We start from the raw sequence: 15,973 nt of genomic DNA on the forward strand, positions 1-15,973 counted from the left end.
ATTCTGGGAACATACGCTGGGTCTGAGTTTTAGACTCTATTTGAGAAGCTGTGGGATCACAGACATGTTATTTAACTTTCACTGCCTGATGAATGATGCAAGAAAGTGGGACAGATGTCATCAAGGGCCCTTCTGGGAGTGAAGCATGAATCCCTTATAATAGCACGTTGACCATAGCAGCTCCAATGGAGTCCAGAGAACGTGTAGGCAGCTCTCTCAAGCTGCAAAATCCTGCTTGTGTCTGGAGTTTTCACAGATAGCCAGGGAGACTTTGAAGCTGCTTTGTCTCAGGCATGTGGTGCTTGGTCACAATGCATTGCTTAGCAGTCTACATCCCCTGTACACTGACGCTTTCTTCTCACTTCTCAATTGACATTCTTCTCACTCATGGCTACAACAGTTGGGCTGGAAATCCTGCCCTTCCTTCACAGTATTACCCATGAAAGAGGATAAAACAAGAGCCTTAGCCCCTGTGTTTGCCTCCCGGGAGACGGGGAGACTAGAGTGTTAACAGTTCTCCTTCTACCTACGAACTCCTGGGAGGGGAAAGCCTAGGTACTTTTACCAAGAAGCTAAGAAACTGGAACTGGAAATTTGAAGCTGTTAAAAAAATAATAATTTCAGAGATCCAGGCTACCACTGAAGTTGGAAGACTAGAGTGAACAGTTTTCTCTTGAGAATATAATTTATGGCATTTTGGGATTATGAAAGTCATGATCCAGGAAATAGGAAATGGAGGCAAAGGAAGTAAAATTGATTGATGTAATAAAGCAATAGGCCTTTTCTCTTCTTCATAGTGGTCCCAAGGAGTATTATAGGGTCACTGAATGTGGAGAATTAGGAAAAGGGAGAAGAGACACAAGAGGAGAGAAAAGAGGCCACAGCAACTGTTAGGGACTAGGGCCCATGAAGAGAAACAGGAGCAAACAATATTGAGATGAGAACGGCCAGGCAAGGTTACAAGAGTGAGGTCTGATACTCATTTGTAAATTGTTTCCTCTCCTCTGCTGTGATCTCCCTCTTGAAACTGCTGCCCTCATCAACACTGTGAAGAGGTGAGATGGAGTTGAGGAGGAGCTGTGTCCACATTGAAGAACTCCAGACTCAGGAAGGGTGACAAGCACAGACAATCATGACAATGCTCAGGGGTGGAGCTTGGAGAGGAGATGGTGTACACAATGCAGAGAATGCAGGCATCCCCCTAACAGAGGTATTCTCAGAAGGATTTGGGTGCTGGTGTTGTTTTGGCAGGAAGGGGATAACGAGAGAACCAGTCAGGATGGGGGATTTTGTCATTGTATTTGGATATTAGAGAAATGTGTGGCCTCAAAGGCGGAAATCTGGAGACGCTTGAGCTAAAATGTAACGCTATAAGCTGGCTCAGATAAGTGTCCACCAAAAAGTAAGGCCAGGCCCTGTCTTGGATCTCAAAGAGGGTGATTGAGTTTCCCAGGGTTTTCTTCCCTCAGGGGAGGTCCAAGTGTTTTAAGAGGGGAAAACCGATGATCTGTACACAGAAACACTCCATTTGTGGGTTGTGGAAGGTGGGTAGACAGCCAGAGGTTCAGGGCATCCTTCCAGGAGTTTACCTTAGGTCTGCAAGGCGAGGCTTATCAAAGAGACTGCCGGCATTTTAAGAGGAATTCCCATCAGAGTGGTGACAAGCACCAGCGGAATGAGGAAGAAAGGAAAAAATCACACTCAGAAACAATAAACAGCAAAAGAAGGAGTTCCAAGGAGAGACAACTGAGTAGTGTTCTCCCTTGGGAAAGGTGAAATATCTGGAAAAATCACTCCTTCATTTAAGACCCTGGGGTCTGTGTTATTCTGGGGAGAGCTACGGAAAAAGTAGACAACTCACTGCTAAGGATGACATCGCTGCATGAGGCTGGAAATGCAGAGGGCAGAGTGAGCCAAATGCATAGAGCTCTTGACCTTGCTTGCATATTCTTTACCTCCCAGCCTTCCTGGGCCATCCTTTCCCTCCTTCCAAATTGCCTATCTTTCTTCCTTTGCTAACTCCGTCTGGAAGCCTCTTCTCCTCATCAGCCCTGTGCAGTGCTGATGGTTAACTTATGCACAAGATGAAATGCTGCTCTTCCTTTAGTGCGCTATGATGGTTATTTTTCACATGTGTTTTCTCTGTGGCTATAATTGCATTGAAATCTGTCTCAGGAGAGGCTTAATGGCTAAGAGCATTGGACATGGGTTAAAATCCTGGCTTGCCTCTTTTTAGTAAATGACAGGGGCAGGTTCACTTAATCTGAAAATGGAGAAAACAGTAATACCCACCTCACTGAACTGTTGTGAAGATTAAATGAAACAGCACATGTAAGGCACTTAGTGGCTGGCATATACTAAAAGCTTAATAACAAAGATCATTCAGTAGAACTCAATAAAAACTCTCACACACTGCTGTTGGGAGTGTACATGACAATGACTGCTTTTGAAAACAATTTAGTGGTATATATTAAAGCTGAACGTATGCATAGATTATGGCCAAACAATTCCACTTCCATATACTCTTAGGCCTTTACTTTCCCAAATGCATACGTATTAGTTATCTAATAATAAATCACTCCAAAACGTAATAGCCAAAACAACATTTATTATAGCAGGTTCTGTGGGTCAGGAGTTCAGGTGTGGCTGAGCTGGGTCTTCTGTCTCAGGGTATTTCACAAGGCTGCAGTCAGCCAGGGCTGTGGTCACCTCAAGGCCTGTTTGGGGGAAAATCCACTTCCAAGCTTACCAATGAAGTTGTTGTCAGGATTCAGCTCTTCATGTGTTGTTGGAATGATGACCTCAGGTCCGTACAGAAGTCTGTCCTCAATTCCTCGCCACTGAGACTCTCCATAGGGCAGCTCAAAACAAGGCAGCGGCTTCATCAGAGAAAGCAAGCAAGAAGAGTGAGAGTGAGAATGAGCAAGAGAGAGAGAGATCCCCAGCAAGTCCAAGGTCATGGCCTTTAATAACCTAATCTTAGAGAGCAACGCTCCATCATGTTTGCCATATTCTGTTTGTTATGAATCACTACATCCACTTCACACACAAGGGTGGGGATTACACAGGACAAGAATAGCCAGAGGCAGGAACCATTAAGAACTGTTTTAGAAGCTCTCTACCACATGGAGTTTCACTAATAGATACTCACAAGAATATTCATAGTTGCACCGTTTGCAACAGTTAAAGCAGGGAAACAACCCAATGTCCATTAGCAACAGAATGGACAAACATATTACAAATCATTGTAATATATTCATACAATTAAATTCTAAACAACAGTGAGAATGAACAAATTATACCTACATGCAGCAGTATGAATAAGACTTTCAGACATAATGATGAGCAAAAGGAATCAAACAAAAAAGAATGTATATTATACATGCTTGTTTCATTTCAAGGGTTTTATTCTTATTTAGAAATAAGTATAGCATAGATAACGAGCTTGGGAAAACTACTAATGTTCCCAATCTAACAAAGTAAAATCTTACAAAGCAGTTGGCTTATCTAACATCCTGACTCCCTCCATTTTGTGTTATAGCTGGAAGTTACTGGAAACCTTACCGAACTTCTTTTTCCCCTTGGATCTTATTTCTGAGAGACAGAGACACTCTTCAAAACTTACCCTCTTCCTGGGTAAAGAAGCAGTCCTTTCCATTAAGACTTCCATTTCAGAACTTTGGTGATACTTTATAATCTTTTTCTATCCTATTATAAAATAGCAATAGTAGACTTTACCAACAATATGGATTTAGTAACTCACATTGATCTAGACCACAGTGTACCTTTAAAGAACAGAAAATCTAAGTAAAAAATATTAGATATACTGAAAATTTAGTTGTGAGGCCTTTTGGGGTACAGAAAGCAATACCCCAAAATATGGTGCTTTGGCATGTTGAGTGCTTGGAATTAAAGAAAATTGAAGGAGCTTAGAAATAAGCCTCAGAACCAAGGTCTTTCTCTGACCTTCCCCTTCCTCCCTGTCTCTCTGATCCTTTTTCTTCATGAAGAAAGAAGGGACTCTGTGGAATTTTCTTCTCTGACTAAGAAAGCTTCTTACAAGGAGAATTGCAATTGTCTTAAAATATCCCTCCTAAGAATCACATGAAATAACCAGAAAAGATTAACCACTAGAGAAGAGGAGATACTGGGAGTCATCACCATGCCTAAACAGACTTTCCATCTATTCTTCTGAGGGCAGCTCCAGGAGATTAACTGGGAAGCTTTAACTGGATAATAAGACTACCTTTGTTCACTGTGAAGTTCTGCCCCTTGCCTTCTCACCACCTCCCTCCGAGCTCAAAGGAACTTTGTTATTTACTCCGTGCTGTATGAAGAAGGCTATATAAGCATCCGGACCTCATTGGATTATTGGGCAATCATTTTCCTGTGATTCTCCCATGCTTATGCACATTAAATACATTTTTTATGACTTTTTCTCCTATTAATCTGCCTTTTGTCAGTTTATTTTCAGCAAACCTTCAGAGGGCAAAGGTGAAGCTTTCCTTCTTTACCCTACAGGCCCTTGAGAGATCTTGAAATATATTCTTCATTACATTAAAGCAATTCTGTGCTGTGAGAAAGAATGGCAACTAGTCTCTGTCAATGTATTCAAAAAATTATTAGGAGGCTATTATGTGATAGGAAATATTTTCAGTGGTAGAGATAATTTTTCCTTTTCTACAACAAGCTTAAATTGTACTAAGTCACTTAATATTTATTTGTGTAGTCATTTATTGAACTAACACCATGTAACACGTTTTATGCACATTAGTAATCATTATTTTATTGTATCAGCTTTTGCTATGTAATAAATCACTCCAAACACAGTGGCTTAAAATAAACATTTTATCTAGCTTTTGGGTATCTATGGTTGGCTGGGATGTTTGGGAAGGCTGGGACTTTTGAGGCAGCTAAAATGGCTTAAATGGCTGACTTCTCTCTGTATAACCTCCCATTCTCTGGAAGACTAGCTGATAATTCTTCACATGGTGGTCTCAGGGTTTCTAACAGCAAGACAACTCAAGCTCCAATGTGTACATATTTTTCAATCCTCTGCTTGCATTACATTTGATAATGCCCTATTCAAGCCCAAATTGAAGTTTAGATTTAAGGAATAAAAAAATAAATTCCACTTCAATATAAAAGGAGTGGCAAATTCACATTTAAGTGGGCACATGTACAGGGCTGGTAAGAATTACTGTGGCCATTTCTGCAAACGGTTTACTGTGTTTAGCATCCCCATTTTTCATTCAGGAAAACAAACTCAAGGAGTAATTTGAGCAAGTTTATAAAGTCGGACAGGATTTGAACATAGAGGAGTGACCATCAACTTTATATTCTTCCCATATATCACCCTGCTTCTAGGTGGAGCGAGCTTCACAAACCACTTTTCAGAGATTGCCAACTCTGAGAAAAAGGAAAGATGTGACTTTGCGACAACCATTTTGCCTGCTGTAGGAAGGCAGTCAATACAAATGCACTCTTTTATGTCATTATGTCAGTGCTCTGGGCATAGTCAGTGCTCTGGGAAGTCTCCCAGGCAGCCTATTTTCCAGTACAAGGACTAGCTTAGACCGAGGCAATGAAAAATTCATGACAAGAGAGTTCAGAAAATGTAGTGTACTTGCTGCCTTCAGGTACCACTTGATTGACTTCTCTCATATTGGGCTCTGCAGTAGCCATGTAATAAAGCAAGGGTGGGAAATTCCATGTTGGAAGCCCTCTTCCTGGGGCTCATCCCTGAAGGCTGTATGGTTGCTGCCTAAGATGGTAAGGGTATCAGGCAGGTTTACGTGGTGTCTGTGGCCGTGGCAGTATGTACAGAGGACAGTGACCATAATAGTGTCATGGAGGGGAATCTTCCTAACGAGATTTAGTTTACTAAGTTAACATTGCAGGTATTACTTGAATTGTATTCCCTGCTATATGCAACTATTAAATTAGATTTTTTCTTAGGGATGATCCTCTTTATATTTTATTGATAAAAATTTAGTGACAATACTTCAGCTATTTCACAGAGTTGTATTTGCATTCTGACTAATTAGTTCAAAATGCTACCTCTAGTCTGGGCATGGTGGCTCATGCCTATAACCCTAGCACTTTGGGAGGCCGACACAGGAGGATCGCTTGAGCCCAGGAGAAAGAGACCAGCCTGGGAAACATGTGAGACTCTTGTTTCTACAAAAAAAATTTAAAAATTAGCCAGATGTGGGGGCATGCACCTGTGGTAATAGCTACTCAGGAGACTAAGGTGGGAGCATCACTTGAGCCAAGGAGGCAGAGGTTGCAGTGAGCTATGATCGCACCACTGCACTGCAGCCTGAGCGACAGAATGAGACTTGTCTCAAGCAAAAACAAAAACAAGAACAAAAACCCAACAACCAAAATGCTGCCTCTAGTTTTCTGCCTATTTGTGTAATGCATATGCATATTTCTGATATGTTTATGTTTGCAGAATGAATAGACTAACCAAAGCTAAAGCACAAATGCAAAAATTGGCATTGATGAGAACTGATTCTACTTACGTGACATTCTGGAAAAGAGAAAATATACGAACAGAAAACAGATCAGTAGTTACCACGGACTAGAGAAAGCTGAGGGAATTGACTACAAACGGGCACAAAGGAACTTTTCTGGGTGATGGAAACATTCTACATCTTGATAGTGGTGTTGGTTACCTGACCTCCTAAACTCATAACTGTACACTTAAAATGGGTGAAATTTACCATATGTACCTCAATAAGCCCAACTTAGGAAAACAATAAAAATAATGATGCCCCAACCATCTTATTTAAATAATCTACATTTTAAAAGATGCTAAATTAGGATAAATTTTAAAATTTTTCAATGAATTTTACTGTTTAGAAATTTATCATTAAGGAAAACTATTCCAGACTTAGAAAACGTAGAGATAGTTGTGTCCTTTCAAACTCATATAAAAGCATTGTCTAATAAGCTGACCTGAGGGACATCTGATGCTTTAGAATGATGTTACTGATAACAGCAGGAGGCAGACATATTCCTAGGCAGACAGGGGTGGGTCTGCAGTGAAACCTGACCCTCAAGCCAAAAACAGCCTGAAGCCTGAAAACCTGGCTCCGGGTTCCAGATAGAGTCCACAACCTAAGCGAGAACTATTTCTGTGTGCCCGCTCTTTTCTGATTGGTTATTTCTGAAAACTTCCTTTTAATCAATCAAATGTTGCCTTTTCCAAGGGTACCTACAGCCCACATCTCCCCCATTCTGAGCCTATAAAAACCCCAGACTCAGCCACATGGAGGGACTACCCAACTTTGGGTAGGGGCTACTCACTTTGGGAACCCTCTCTGTGGAGAGCTCTTCTGCCATTTGATAAAACTCTTCTCTGCCTTGGTCACCCTCTGGTTGGCTGCATAACTCATTCTTCTCGAACGTAGGACAAGAACCTGGGACCTGCTGAATGATTGGTGCAAAAAAGACTGTAACATGTTCCTGGCTGGCTCACTGAGCTGTGGGCATTGACACGCTCCCATTCTCTGGTCCATGGGAGAGAAGAGCGGCAACCCTTCTGGAGCCCAGACCTCAGGACTCCCCAAGCTGGAGCTGTAACACCCCCTTTGGGTTCCACGGTTGCTGATGTCTCTGAGTTTTTCAGGCACCACCATGTTCCTCTCATCCAGATGCTGGTGCCCAAGGTGGAGGCCACTTGCAGTATTCCTGGTCCAGCTGCAGACTTGTACAGAGGTGGCCCCTGGAGTTGCCCCCTACTGCTGTAGCAGCTGGTGCTCCTGGCTTGCCCTTGATGGGTGTGAGATCCAGGTTGGCAGCATGAGCACAGCACAGCCTGCTGGGCCGAGTATGTGGGGCAAGTCTAGCAGTGAGCCCTGAGTGGAGTGAAGCTGGGGCAGGAGTGCTGCCGGCCGCAGAAATTTCCACCTGGAAAGCAGCACCTAAAAATCCTGTCATTTCTTTTGTTAAAATTACTATTTACTATTGATTAGGACTAGATTCTAGGAATTAACATCTATCATTACAGAGTTGAAAATAATTTTCATTTGGTAGAGATGAAATTGATTTCTGTGTGATTGTGTAGGGGAGGAAAAAATGCTCCCTTCTACCCTTCTATGTTCTGTGGCTGGTCTAAGAATTAAATGGACATAAAAAACATTAGTAGGAGAAAAATAACTTTAATTTATGGACATATGCGTGGGAATCCCACTAAAAATGAGACTCAAGGAAGTACCCAGATAACTGAGACATATGTCAGCATAAGCTATAGGAAAAAATAGGGCTTTGGAACTTCTGGGGAGTGGTGGAGGCAAATGATGGGAAGGTGAGAGGAGGAAATGTAGGGTGAATATAGTTTACCTTCTTATGTGGATAAGAGTCTCTCAGGCAATAAAAATTGTCTTAGAGTTGTTCTCTTCCTGGTATGGATACCTTTACTAATAGAAATTTTCTTTGTAAATGTAAATTTTCCTTACAGAAGGGGAAGTTTATACATTATTTTAAACAGGTGAGGGGGAAGTGAAGAGCTTTTTCTGCATTGGCTGTTTCTTAATTTACTTTAGCTTGAAATAAGCAATATGCCAAGTGGCATATTTTGAGGGTAGCATGTTTTGAACCCCTTCAGTAGAAAACATAATCCAGAGGTTATGATTTTATAGCTCTTTACGACATTAGCCGGTTTTGCTCTGTTGGGAGGAAAACTTTCCCCTAACCCTCTTAGGTTTGAATGGTCTAGGCCTTTGGATTAACTAAGAATAGATTAACAGAACAAAAGTTTTTGTGCCTACAGAAGTACTCAGTAATGAGTAACTTGTTTAGTAGCCAGAGATAAAGGTTTGTATTCCAATTTAGCAAAAATGGAGGGGAGGTTTAGGGCATCAATAGGAAAGTATGAAAGGCTCTATTTGGCTTTTTGATGCTAATAGGCAGCTAAATTCATACTTCCTGGTGCTGAGTGTCAGTATTTTCTGAAACAGGAAACTCCCTGGGTGAAGGGGTGTGGGTAGTGTCAAAGGCAGGTGTATTTTTGGGAGTACCTGCATAAGTGTAGATAATGTTTTATTTTTATTTTTTGGTGATTGTAGATTAAGATGTTCTCAGTTTAAAATAATTTTTATACCACTTTGGTGAGCTGTTAATCTACCCAGTATCTAATTTAGCAATCTTATTTTAGCATCTTTTCTTTTACTAATTCGATACACCAGTCTTGCATATACTTCTTTAAACAGCCTTTACCATCCTAATGGTTCCCTCATTAAGTTTAAATATTTGAAATGTGCTCACTATGTATTCTCATAAATATATTTTTGAACATTAAAAAGTTTATACTTTGGCAATTTTCTATACTTTTTCATTCCTAGTACACAGTAGTTCTCTTACATATGCATGTATTAGCCTTTTGTTAGTTTATAATATCATCATTATGGGAAAAGTATTCTGAGTTCTGAAGAGCCAATGAAGAAAGTTTTGAAACACACCCGATTTTAACTTGGGGACTGTCTGTACTATATTTTTTAATAGTCTGTGGTTTCGTGTTCTCTGGTACTTAAATTCCTAAGCTTTACTGCCTTGAAGTTCTTGGCACACCATAGGCAGATTAGCCACGTGGTCATGTTTTGGAGTTTGGGTTGTGTTAGAAGTTTGGGTTCTGTTAGAAGAATAATTAAATCTTAGGCAGAAATTGGCTGACTTCCTAATAGGCAAGGTTAAGTCTCATGATGCTAGGCTACTAGGCAGGGTTTCTTGGCATGACAGCTATTACATTGAAGTACTTGACAGTTTTCGTTGTAAAGAACATTCTTATTTATAAAGTAGCTCCCTCATATTTGTGGTTTCACTTTCTGCAGTTTCAGTTACGGTCAACCGCAGTAGGTTATTTTTATGAACATAAGATATTTTGAAAGAGAGAGACAGAGAGAAAGAGACCACATTCAAATAACTTTTATTACAGTAAATTGCTATAATTGTTCTATTTTAATATTAATTATTGTTAATCACTTACTGTGTCTAATTTATAAATTAAACTTTATCCTAGGTATGTATATATTGGAAAAAAATAGTATATATAGGATTTGGTACTATCCCCCCACTGCAAGCACCTACTGGGAGTCTTGAAATGCAACCCTTGTGAATAAAGGGGGACTGCTGCACCTCACTAAATTCTCACCTGGTAAATTTAACCTAGTGTTCTTTTATTCCCTCCTCAGTGGAATTTTGACACTTGGTTGTGATATTTTATGAAAAAGCCCTATTCAAATAATTTTTGGTGCAGTTATGAAATGGATCGCCAATTTTATTTTTTCCTCCTTCCTTCTTTTCCTTCTCTGTGGTATTTTAAAATATTTCACAAAACTAGTGTATAGAATATTAACACACTTTACAGATGATAACTTTTAGTCACAGCATCCTCAGTTTGGAAACCTGCTGAATAATATTGTTCATATGATGACAAGTTTGAAATGAAGGCACATTATTTTGAATGGCTGTGTCCTATGGCCCAGGGTTACCGAAAATGTGGTCCATGGGCCAAGGCCTGCCTGCAAACTGTTTACTACCTGTCTGTAATGAGATTTCTACAGAACTTGAAAGCATTTGTAAACTTTTGTAAGCAATTTCTCAGAGTAATTTTATGTCTGTTGAATAAACTTACAATGTTTTCCTAAGAGAAGGATGTGGTTTGTCACTTGCTGTTTCTTCTCCTCCTTCTTACTTTCTTCCACTCCTCTTTCTCTTTCTCCTGTTACTGTTACTGCCCCTGCTGCTCATCTTCTCTTTCCTGACTTTATTCTTTGTCTTCTTATTCTTCTTTTTGCCTTCCTTTCCCCCTCTTCCTGCTCCTTGTGATTCTTCTCCCTTGTCCTCCTCCTCCTCCTCTAGATATGAAAGTCCACTATATTCACACAAGGTATGTAAGTAATTGTTCCTTTCAGTTACCTTGAGGAGAACTAATTAATTTAAAATATTATTTTAAACACCACCTTTATCTTATAGCTCCAGTGAAAAACTGCATTTTGTAACCTACATTTTTTTTATGGAATAAATTCCAGTTTTTCAGCTTGATTTTCAGGATCTTTCCAATGTAAGCCCAATATAAGAGTCCTAACTCTTCATAATTCCCTTAAAAATTATGATGATTTCCCCTTTATTGTGTATTTATACCATTTATCTTCTAAGAATGGATTCTCCGCTGATTTATAATTTGATTCACCCATCTAATGAGTATTTAGCATCAATTAAATGCTGGGCAATAAGTTCCTGCCACTCAGGAGTTTAACATCCAGAACGTAGTCAAATACTTACCTCTTCTTTGGGGGCATCTCCATGAGGTGTAATTAGAAAAAGCAGAGCCAGGCGCAGTGGCTCACGCCTGTAATCCCAGCACTTTGGGAGGCCGAGGTGGGCAGATCATTTGAAGTCAGGAGTTCGAGACAAGCCTGACCAACATGGTGAAGCCCCGTCTCTATTAAAAATACAAAAAAGTTAGCTGGGCATGGTGGCACATACCTGTAGTCCCAGCTACTCAGGAGGCTGAGCAGGAGAATTGCTTGCCTGGGAGACAGAGGTTGCAGTGAGCTGAGATCACGCCACTGCACTCCAGCCTGGGAGACAGAGTGAGCCTCCGTCTCAAAAAAAAAGCACTAAGAGTTGTCAGAAGAGTTGAGAGTCACAGGGATTGGGGACTGGGATATAAATCTTAGCTGGTCACGACCCCTAACTCCTTGGGTCTCCTTTGTGTACTCATCTGTAAAGTGGGTATGATGCTGATCTTTCCTTCATAAAGGATTTTTTAAAAAAGATTATATTAAATAATAAGATGAAAGAAGCTGGCACAATGTAGAATTTATTCAATGCTATTTTCTTCTTGTCGCCTATGAAAAAATTTTACTTTCTATTTACTTTAATTCTGACACCAAAGGCTATCCTTTTCCTGTTCTACACCATGCACATTCTAAACTAGTTCCATTTCCTGGTACTATCTTCCTGTTCCAACTCCCCTTTTTATTTATGCAATGCCCACTCTTCCTTTTCCATCTGCCCAAATTGTGTACTTCCTTCAGGATGAAATTCAAAACCTCACTCCTCCAAAATCACTCATGGGCCCCTTGACTTTTCTGGAATTCTCTTATAGAACTACTTCAGCTCTTGGCTATGTTATCTCTGGTGTTGACCATTTTATTAATTTCATCTTGCCTTCCCAATGAAAATGAATGTTCTTTGATGGTAAGGAATTTGTCTTTTTTCCCTTTCTTTCTTTGCATTCTTTTTTTTTTTTTTAAATAACAACCTCCTGTCCAATTATATGGTATTTGTATTTTTCTGTTCCCTAGAGTGTAGAGCATATGAAAGATAGTTAAAAATACAGCAGAAACTTGACACTGGTGAGGGATATGGGTAAGCCATGCTATAATGTGGATGCCCACGGGCCAGAGGGATTTACTGCTCATGTACTTCTCCCATCTATACCATCCTCATGATGCAAGTGCACCAAATTTGCCCTTTAGCAAAATGGCAAACTCATGTCCTTGGACATCTTGTGCTTGCAAAAAGCTGAAACCTCAACTGTCAAAACCTCAAATGCCAAGAGTTTCTTATGTTTTTGATAAAACTGTGGTTGTACCCAAAAGTACTTGATGAAAATTTTTTATTTAGCCCATTATTTTGGCATTGTACTGCCTCAGTACTCATCTCCGATTACCTATCAGGTGTGGGTTTGAAGGGTGGTTCCAGGGTGAATACAGACAGAGGAATATCTTCTAGTTCTTGCCTGGAGGCTCTGGACCCACCCGCACTTTCCCAGACCTGAAGGAACAGCAACTACCAGATGCCAAGCACTGCCTTTAGGTGCTCAGATGAACTTCTGAGCCATATCACCTGTCCTCAAAAGCCCTGACCCAAGCAGTGTCCCTTCTCTCAGATGTCCCCTCTCTCAGTAGGTTCACCCAGTAACCAGTTTTATGAAGAATAGTGTTTTTCAAAATGGGAAGAGAAAGCAGTGCTTTGACTTAGAGGACTCTCTTCTGTTCAATTTTAACTTTCAATGTATAGTTTTTAATTGTAGAAGTTACTTCAAAAGGAAATTAAAGAATTGAAACCCCAAGTCCCAGCATATTAGGAACTAATATTAGAGCTTACTTTCAAATAATGGCTAACTCTAGTGGAATGCTTACAAGGTACCTGTGTTGGTTTTTCATCGCCCTGACACATACATGAAAGTAAGTCTCTTCCAGAGAGTATCTGATTCTATGACTTTCTCTGATGACTCACCTATGACTTTCTCTGATGACTAGGCTATTTTATAGCTCCCTAGAAATAGAAACTAAGTTGTAGAAAACTGATAACAATGCAGGTTTTTCCTGTCCACAGTAATGCAAATCATTCTTTTTTTTATTCTTATTTTTATTATTATTATTATTTTTTTTGAGACGGAGTCTCACTCTGTCGCCGAGGCTGGAGTGCAGTGGCGCGATCTCGGCTCACTGCAAGCTCCAACTCCTGGGTTCACGCCATTCTCCTGCCACAGCCTCCCGAGTAGCTGGGACTACAGGCGCCCACCACCATGCCAGGCTATTTTGTTTGTACTTTTAGTAGAGACGGGGTTTCACCGTGTTAGCCAGGATAGTCTTGATCTCCTGATCTTGTGATCTGCCCGCCTCGGCCTCCCAAAGTGCTGGGATTACAGGTGTGAGCCACCGTGCCCGGCCGCAATTGATTCTTGTTCACAGAAATGCAAAGGCATATTGCATTTAGAGATAAAACTTTATTATGTTTTATAAAACATTATAGAGATAAAACTTGAAAATGTTTACTGACCTATGGGATATCAATCAGTTTTGCATTTATTAGCAAAACCATTTTAGCATTCCTAGTTGCATGTATACATCTCCAAATTCTCCTCATTCTCCAAATTCTGTTTCCTCATTAATTAATTAAATCAACAAATTATTTGACACAGGTTCATTTTACATGTGTTTGAGAGTCATGATTTTACTTTGTAAAAAATTATAGTTTAGCAATTTTGAAGGTTCCACTGAAAAGCCCAAGTGGGCTTTCCTGACAAAGTAAACTTCTGATGGGGTTCAGGACACATTACTCCAAAATATAGCACCTTGGCATATTAAATATTTTAAGCTGAAGACATTTGAAAAGCAGGAAGTTCACTCCACTTTCCTCCCAGTCTTTCTCTCCTGAAGCAGACCATGAAACCTAGGAAGGATTTTCTGATCTTTCCCTGAAGAAAGAGGCCGGGTGCCCTCCCAATACCTGGAGGAAAGGAATGTCCTTATCTTTGAAGATAAAATGACACTGAGAATAATCTGTACAAACAAGATGAAACTGCCTTTGCAAAATTATGACAATAAGAGAAATCTGACATACTTGACTCCATCTTGTTTCTGACCTCCAAGATGTCCTTGGTCATTCCTGGGCATAGGCCAACTTAACTTTGGGAGAAATTTATTTTTTTTATTTTTTATTTTTTTGTGATGGAGTTTCACTCTTGTCACGCAGGCTGGAGTGCAATGGTGGTCTTGGTTCACTGCAACCTCCACCTCCCGTGTTCAAGCAATTCTCCTGCCTCAGCCTCCTGAGTAGCTGGGATTACAGGTGCCTGCCACCACGCCAGGCTAATTTTTATTTTTTTTTCGAGATGGAGTCTCGCTCTGTCGCCCAGGCTGGAGTGCAGTGGTGCGATCTCGGCTCACTGCAAGCTCTGCGTCGCAGGTTCACACCATTCTCCTGCCTCAGCCTCCCAAGTAACTGGGACTATAGGCGCCCGCCACCTCACCTGGCAAATTTTGTATTTTTAGTAAAGATGGGGTTTCACCTTGTTGGCCAGGCTGATCTTGAACTCCTGACCTCAGGTAATCTGCCTGCCTTGGCCTCCCAAAGTGCTGGGATTACAGGCGTGAGCCACTGCACCCAACCTGTTTATAATGTAACTTGCAAGCAAGGATGAGAATAATCCCTCAGTAAACAAATCCCCTCCTTGTTTAGGGACCAAAGACCATCTTTGTAAGACTAATGAAAGGCCCCAAGAATAGGATTATGTGGGGTGGTGGGCTGAACTCTGCTAAGATGTAGGCATCTTTCTATAATCCTTTACTGCTCAGGAGTCATGTGGCCAGAGGTCACAAGATTTGTGACTTCCTTAATTGCTCCTGTAGATAACATCACGATTGTAATACCTAAGATTATTTTTTTTTGAGACACTTTCTGACAGACCCAACATGGACTCATGACTCAACTGAACCTGTGGCCCCACTCAGATGTGGACTCAGGGCTTGAGGACTGTTTTCCACACCCTTATGATTTCATCCCCTGCCAATCAACAGCACCCATTCCCTAGCCCTCTGCCCACCAAACTCCACAGAAACCCTAAACTCTGAGCCTTTGGGGCTATTGATTTGAGTAATATTATAATTCTGTTTCCTGCATGGCAGGGCCAGCCTCGTGTCAATTAAACTCTTTCTTTACTGCAGTGCCATGGTCTCCATGAATCAGTTTTGTCTGTGCAGCAGGCAGGAAGAACTCATCAGGAGATTGCAAAGATTTGCTGTTTTCCCCATTTTATTACTATTAGATCATACATTTTGTCCAAATATATTTCTCCATGACAGTTCACTTGTCATCAAACTTAATATAAAAATATGCAGATTCTACCATTTTTTTTCTGGTCTTCATTTTTTTAATGAAAGCTTCTGTGTCATGTGAAACTTATATTAAATAAATTGTATATTTTTGTCTTGAGAATCTGTCTTTTGTTAAGAGGTCTCAACTGTGAACCTAGGATGGTTACAGAAAAGAAGGTTTTCTCACCTTACACTGTGTTGCTGGAGAAGTTTACCAATGGTTGCTTAACGTCGGCACATCTTTTCTTGATTGCCAGAGTAAATTCCAAGTAATAGTAGAACTTTGGCTTTGCTAACTCACTCTCTGTTTATCTAGTTTTATCCCTCTCTCTCTAGTAATTTTGTGTTTAGTTCTT

At 40.5% G+C, this 15,973-nt stretch overlaps 1 annotated feature.

The window, feature by feature from the left end:
* Positions 250-299: an enhancer, noted in NCBI's record as "active region_5448". NCBI's record gives its function as "activates an Ori minimal core promoter by ATAC-STARR-seq in GM12878 lymphoblastoid cells {active_cell/tissue: GM12878}" and the evidence as "EXISTENCE:reporter gene assay evidence [ECO:0000049][PMID:35858748]".

The sequence above is a fragment of the Homo sapiens genome, chromosome 11 (assembly GCF_000001405.40).
Source record: "Homo sapiens chromosome 11, GRCh38.p14 Primary Assembly".
Taxonomy (NCBI): Eukaryota; Metazoa; Chordata; class Mammalia; order Primates; family Hominidae; genus Homo; species Homo sapiens.